We start from the raw sequence: 7,546 nt of genomic DNA, 5'->3' as shown, positions 1-7,546 counted from the left end.
AATGATGACAGTGAGCCATGTAAAAAGGCTACAATTTTTGTGATTGTGTGTCCATTTTCAGGATGGGTTGTAGCTTACCTTTTTAGAAAGGCTGATGCCATAGTCATAGTGAATAAATGATTATAAAATGTGTTTCCTTTCTGGTGCACCTCTGGAGAAACTTGACACAGAGTCTCTGATGCCCAAGCTGGAGTACAGTGGTGCTATCTCGGCTCACTGCAACCTCTGCCTCCTGGGTTCAAGTAATTCTCATGCCTCAGCCTCCCAAGTAGCTGGGATTACAGGCATGCCACCACACCCAGCTAATTTTTGTATTTTTAGTAGATAATGGGGTTTCACCATGTTGCCCAGGCTGGTCAACTCCTGGCTTCAAGTGTTCCGCCAGCCTCAGCCTCCCAAAGTGCTGAGATTACAGGTGTGAGCCACCACGCCCAGTAAGACTGGCTTACTTTAATATAATTTTTACCACCCCTATGGGAAAATACAGCCAGACCCATCATAAGGTATTTTTTTTCACCAACTACAATCAGAAGCACCGATCATAAAGTATTTACTGGAGAACCTATGCCTTTGATAATAGAACCTCATGTATCCCCTGCACATTTTAGCTCTGACTGTGTAACCAGGGGTTCAACTCCAACAGATTAACCATTGCTTAAGTTGCAAAGCCTAAATTGCTCAGGCATGTCCGATGGGAAAAAGGTTTAACCTCTTAACTGTTAACACAGCCTGGCTGACTGTTTGAATTGGCATCACCTGAAACCAGTTGGAAAGGCCATGTGAGCTTGCTCCACTATCCCCAGATTGGGGAGACAGGCTTGGAACTTGTCTCCTGTCTCCCTGTCAGTTAACTATTTTTTATTTTTATTTTTATTTTTATTTTTTTCTTTGAGACAGAGTCTTGCTCTGTTGCCCAGGCTGGAGTGCAGTTGCGTGATCTCAGCTCACTGCAAACTTGGCCTTCCGGGTTCAAGTGATTCCTGCCTCAGCCTCCACAGTAGATGGGATTACAGGCGTGCACCACGATGCCTGACTAATTTTTGTATTTTTAGTAGAGAGGGAGTTTCACCATATTGGTCATCCTGGTCTGGAACTCCTGACCTTGTGATCTGCCCGCCTCGGCCTCCTAAAGTGCTGGGATTACAGGCATGAGCCATTGTGCCCGGTCCAGTTAACTCCTAATAATTTTTTATTTTTTCCCAAAATGGAGTCTTGCCCTGTCACCCAGGCTGGACTGCAGAGGTGCAATCTCAGCTCACTGCAACCTCTGCCTCCCAGGATCATGCCATTCTTCTGACTCAGCCTCCAGAGTAGCTGGGATTACAGGCATGGATCACCACACCCAGCTAATTTGTGTATTTTTAGTAGAGACAGGGTTTTCCCATGTTGTCCAGGCGGTCTCAAACCCCTGACCTTGTGATCTGACTCCCTCGGCCTCCTAAAGTGCTGGTATTATAGGCATGAGCCACCGTGCCCAGCCTTTTTTGCTTTTCTCAAACCATGGTGGTGTAGTATTGGGTTCTATGCACTTAGGAGAGTGAGCTCATCATTCAGTAACAATATGACTCAGTACCACGAGACCTTTCAAAGACTATTTCCAGTAGGTGAAGGAGGCTTTTAATGATGATTGGACCTTCATGCCCTACCATTTGGAGATTGTGTCTTTTAAAATGGCCCTAAGGGAAATCTGCCCATGAGCAGCATTGGATGAGACCATACCAGGTGACTTAAAATTAAGGATAACCAAGGAAAAAAGCCTTTCTTACAAGCAGACATCATCACATGGTAGACAGCTGTTTTAAGAAAATGGAACAAAACTCCATTCGATCTCCTTCCATTGACTGAGACTTGGTTTTGTTTTGTACTAACACAAAATGATCAAGCCTACATTTTATTTTGTTACGTACTTTCACCAGTCAAAGCAAACACTTTCTAAGGTCTCCTCTTCAAAATTTAGCCACTATCACTAACCAAAGCAATTGCTGCCTATGGAGTCATTTAGATGAATAGGAAGGATCACAACTAATAGTAGAACCTGCTCTCACACACGGTTGGGTAATATTTATGATTAAATGACTCGGCACTGAGAAGAAGCTATAGATGCAAATGGGTGGCCTATGACTATTATTGATTTCATTACTGGTAACTTATCTCTATGCATAGGAAACATTAGTGTAACTGGGTCTAATCTAGGTGGTGTCCCAGACTCTTGTGGCTCAGGCTGGAGTGCAATGGCACAATCTCAGCCCACTGCAACCTCCACCTCCCGGGTTCAAGTGATTCTACTGTCTCAGCCTCCCAAGTAGCAGGGATTACAGGCATGTGCCACTACAGCCAGCTAATTTTGTATTTTTAGTAGAGACATGGTTTCTCTGTGTTGGTCAGGCTGGTCTCCAACACCCAACCTCAGGTTATCCTCCGGCCTTGGCCTCCCAAAGTGATAGGATTACAGGCACGAGCCACCGAACCTGGATAGAGAACATTTCTGATGGCTCCATATTGATGGAACTTCAAATAACTCTCTGGTAAATTATTTTCTATAATACCCTTAAATAAAAAATGGAGAAGCTGAGATCCAGATCAATGTAGACTTTGGTACAGAGTTGGTGGTACCAGGGCTGCCATATCCAGTTTACACCCCAACCTGATATATCAGCAAATCTCCTGGAGTAAGGAAAATATTTCTGAGGAGGGGTTTCACATGAAATTCAGAAAATTCCTGTGTTTGAAGCAGTCCAAATGACATTTTGTGGCAACAAAATATATGGTCTACTTAACAGAGAAGGAGACTGTGTAAGAAAAAAAGAAAAAAGATGTTTATCCTGAAATGAGCAAAGCATTGGGAATGGATGTGAGATTATTTTGGGAGAAAAATAGAAGATGAAGGTTTTGAAAGGAAAAATAAGGAGGATTATATAAATTGTTTTGAAAGGCTCATCCTTGGTCCTAATAATCAAAACCAAAGGGGCATCAGTGAAATATTGGATAGATTCCTCCTCCACCCCCTCAGTAACCCCCAACATGTTTACCAAGTCTTGGTTCACTCCCAGGATCCCATTAAAACACCAAGCTCAACCAAGCCCATCCTCTACCCTCACTTCCTTTTGCAATTTTGACATGATTTTATTACAGGACCATCAGATTCCTATGCCTGCTGCACAGTAGCTTACCAATATTTTGAGACAGCAGAGTTTGCAGCAGAGAGTTTAATGATCACAGGGTGGCTAAATGAGAAGCTAGGAGGAGATCCTCAAATTCATCTCCCCAAGGAGGAGATCCACTGAGGGTTTCCAGTGGATCCTGGATAGCAAGGGGCTGGAAAGTTGATATAGAGTTAAGAGGGATGAAGTCATCAGGATGTCAAAACTGCATTCTTTGGTGCGTTGGTGCCTTGTAGGGCCCTTCAGATCAGCTGGCATCAGTACTTTCACTGACATGCAGAACGTAAGAATATCTCAAATGAAAAAGTTAATGTTTTACAAGGCTTAAATTGTTGTCTGCAGGGCAGTTAAGGGGAACTGTAATCTAAGGTCTAAATGATTTGGGGACAGTAGGCTGCCAGCAACCATGAGGAAGAAGGTCAGAGAGCAAGCTGACCTCATGGTGAATGCTGAATGCGCTGCAAGCTTGGTTTATTTTTGTTTCTCCCCCTCCCTTCTTCACTGATTAAATTTATAAAGTTTATAGGTATCGTTTCAATTTCTTCCAAAGAAGCCTTAACCTAAGCACTGAGACCACTCACGCCCTGAGTGGCACCTCTCTTCCACCAGCACGAGTGAAGAAACTGCTACCTTAGGTGATATAAAACCCACAAGACCATTCCATACATGGAGATCTTTATTCTTATTTTGTAGGGATGACTCCGTTTTTATAAAGTTGTTTTAACTAGAAAGCATTTTTATAATTTTGATGTGGCCAAAGATCTCCCCACAACACTACTTTCAGGTTTTATTTTTCTGTCTAATGTCCGGAACAGATCAACCCCTTCCCTGCCTCACACTCAGGACCTGAAGGCGACATAGCAGTAAAATTCCATCAGTGTTTGTGGATTTCATGAATGAATGCATTTTTTTTTTGACAAAATCTCCCTCCGTCACCCAGTCAGGAGGGCAATGGTGTAATCTTGGCTCACTGCAAACTCAGCCTCCAGGGTTCAAGGGATTCTCCCACCTCAGCCACATGAGTAGCTGGACTACAGGCAGCCACCATCGTGCCTGGCTAACTTTTCTATTTTTGTAGAGACAGGGTTTCACCATGTGGGCCAGGCGGGTCTTGAACTCCTGACATCAGGTGATCCACCTACCTTGGCCTCCTAAAGTGCTGGGATTACAGGTGTGAGCCACCTCATCTGGCCTTGAGTGAATGAATTCTTGACTTCCACTCTATCCCTAACGCTGTCAATTTCTTAATTCATGAAATGAATATGCATATGTGATATGAATGGATACCTGGTTCAATCCATTAGTCTTCGGACAGCCAAAAACCCAATCAGGATTAACTGAGTGGAGCTTCAGAAATGCAATCAGATATCGCTTTTTGATTGGAAGCTAGCAGCGGATATGTGGAGGGGCGTGGGTGGGAGTTGTGATTAGAAAGGTCAATAAAAGCTTCTAAAGACCCACAGGACAGACTCAAAGTCTTCAAGCCTGGAGTTCCTGCTTGGCTCTTCCTGAGGTCTGAGCTACAACTACAACCAGAGGTCTAAACTACAACCAGATCTGGTAAGTCACTAATTTCTGGAAGGACACTCCCATCTGACCTACAGTCAGCCGGTCTAGAACGGTGACAGTGCAGCCTACGACGGCACAGAACTATATCCTGTCTTTTTTTCTTTTTTTCATATGAACACTTTGAAGCTTTGATTTTTTTTCTAAATGCAATTTTGTCTTTATTTCAAAAATGTTGTTGTGCTTTTCTTTACATCATTTCAGAATTCTTGTTGGGAGCCATTTTGTGAAGAGACGAAGACTGAGCTGTTTTGGCTGCATTTCTGGCCTCGAGCCGCAGTCAGTTTCTCCCCGTAGAACCCGGCAGTAGGAGACTTAGAATCGAATCTCTTCTCCCTCCCGCCTCCTGTTTTTGGCTTTTTGAGAAACCTTATCATCCAACACAATGGCCAGCAACGTTACCAACAAGATGGATCCTCACTCCATGAACTCCCGTGTGTTCATTGGGAATCTCAACACTCTTGTTGTCAAGAAATCGGATGTGGAGGCGATCTTTTCCAAGTATGGCAAAATTGCGGGCTGCTCTGTTCATAAGGGCTTTGCCTTCGTTCAATATGATAAGGAGAAAAATGCCCGGGCTGCTGTAGCAGGAGAGGATGGCAGAATGATTGCTAGCCAGGTTGTAGATATTAACCTGGCTGCGGAGCCAAAAGTGAACCGAGGAAACGCAGGTGTGAAACGATCAGCAGCGGAGATGTACGGCTCCTCTTTTGACTTGGACTATGGCTTTCAACGGGATTATTATGATGGAATGTACAGTTTCCCAGCACGTGTACCTCCTCCTCCTCCCATTGCTCTGGCTGTAGTGCCCTCGAAACGTCAACGTCTATCAGGAAACACCTCACGAAGGGGCAAAAGTGGCTTCAATTCTAAGAGTGGAAAGCGGGGATCTTCCAAGTCTGGAAAGTTGAAAGGTGATGACCTTCAGGCCATTAAGCAGGAGTTGACCCAGATAAAACAGAAAGTGGATTCTCTCCTGGAAAACCTGGAAAAAATTGAAAAGGAACAGAGCAAACAAGAGGTAGAGGTGAAAAATGCTAAGTCAGAAGAGGAGCAGAGCAGTAGCTCCATGAAGAAAGATGAGACTCATGTGAAGATGGAGTCTGAGGGGGGTGCAGAAGACTCTGCTGAGGAGGGGGACCCACTGGATGATGATGTTAATGAAGATCAGGGGGATGACCAGCTGGAGTTGATCAAGGATGATGAAAAAGAGGCTGAGGAAGGAGAGGATGACAGAGACAGCACCAATGGCCAGGATGACTCTTAAGCACATAGTGGGGTTGAGAAATCTTATCCCATTGTTTCTTTACCTAGGAGCTTGTCTAACAACAAATTTTTCACCAGATCCTCTCCCTTAGTATCTTCAGCACATGCTTACTGTTCTCCCCATCTTTGTCCTTCCCATGTTCATTAATTCATATTGCCCTGTGCCTAGTCCCATTTTCACTTCCCTTGACACCCCTAGTAGTTGTCCTAAGTCTTACCCTGTAATTTTTCCTTTTAATTTTGACACCTCTTTATGACTTAACAGTAAAAAGGATGTATGGTTTTTATCAACTGTCTCCAAAATAATTTCTTATTTTGTTTATTTAGTTTATTTATTTGTTAGTTTAGTTTAGTTTTGTTTATTTGTTATTTAGTTTACTGAGAATGATGTTTTCCAATTTCATCCATGTCCCTACAAAGGACATGAACTCATCATTTTTTATGGCTGCATAGTATTCCATGGTGTATATGTGCCACATTTTCTTAATCCAGTCTATCATTGTTGGACATTTGGGTTGGTTCCAAGTCTTTCCTATTGTCAATAATGCCGCAATAAACATACATGTGCATGTGTCTTTATAGCAGCATGATTTATAGTCCTTTGGGTATATACCCAGTAATGGGATGGCTGGGTCAAATGGTATTTCCAGTTCTAGATCCCTGAGGAATCGCCACACTGACTTCCACAATGGTTGAACTAGTTTACAGTCCCACCAACAGTGTAAAAGTGTTCCTATTTCTCCACATCCTCTTCAGCACCTGTTGTTTCCTGACTTTTTAATGATTGCCATTCTAACTGGTGTGAGATGGTATCTCATTGTGGTTTTGATTTGCATTTCTCTGATGGCCAGTGATGATGAGCATTTTTTCATGTGTTTTTTGGCTGCATAAATGTCTTCTTTTAAGAAGTGTCTGTTCATGTCCTTTGCCCACTTTTTGATGGGGTTGTTTGTTTTTTTCTTGTAAATTTGTTTGAGTTCATTGTAGATTCTGGATATTAGCCCTTTGTCAGATGAGTAGGTTGTGAAAATTTTCTCCCATTTTGTAGGTTGCCTGTTCACTCTGATGGTAGTTTCTTTTGCTGTGCAGAAGCTCTTTAGTTTAATTAGATCCCATTTGTCAATTTTGTCTTTTGTTGCAAGTTGGAATGCTTTTATAAGAAAGGTTGAAAGAAGGGGATGGGACTCCTCCTATCAGTTGTTTTTTTTTTAATTTTCTTTTGTTTTATCCTGGCAAGGCTCTAATAGAGTTGAGCTTTTTTGTTTTTGTTTTTTCCATTGGAAGGGACAATACAGAGGTTACAATCATTGACTTTAGATGACAACATGACAGGCAAAAATATTTTCCTTGCAAGACAACCAGCAAAACTTCACGATCAGAATCAAATCAGTGTCCTTCTCACTGTCACTGGGTGAAGCCTTCATCAGTACTTGAAGAGTCTCAGGCACTCATGAAGTCAAGATCAGATTCTTTACTCAGGGACAGGATGTAAGCCAATCATAAGACCTTCCACAGATGATCAATTTGGAAGTCTACCTAATGTGACCTGCAGG

At 42.8% G+C, this 7,546-nt stretch overlaps 1 protein-coding gene across 1 annotated transcript; it reads left to right on the top strand.

The window, feature by feature from the left end:
- The first annotated feature begins 4,681 nt into the window (after positions 1–4,681).
- On the top strand, positions 4,682–6,025 carry HNRNPCL1 (heterogeneous nuclear ribonucleoprotein C like 1). Its single transcript, NM_001013631.3, has 2 exons — positions 4,682–4,721; positions 4,932–6,025. The coding sequence occupies exon 2, from the start codon at positions 5,113–5,115 to the stop codon at positions 5,992–5,994; it is 882 nt and encodes a 293-aa protein (NP_001013653.1). The 5' UTR covers positions 4,682–4,721; positions 4,932–5,112; the 3' UTR covers positions 5,995–6,025.
- Positions 6,026–7,546: the final 1,521 nt, after the last annotated feature.

The sequence above is a fragment of the Homo sapiens genome, chromosome 1 (genome assembly GCF_000001405.40).
Source record: "Homo sapiens chromosome 1, GRCh38.p14 Primary Assembly".
Classification (NCBI taxonomy): Eukaryota; Metazoa; Chordata; class Mammalia; order Primates; family Hominidae; genus Homo; species Homo sapiens.
Note: the sequence above shows the minus strand (reverse complement) of the source record. Positions and strands in the feature narration are given on the sequence as shown.

Coding starts and splice junctions, on each gene's coding strand:
- HNRNPCL1 (NM_001013631.3), top strand. CDS start 5,113: ATGGCCAGCAACGTTACCAACAAGATGGATCCTCACTCCATGAACTCC.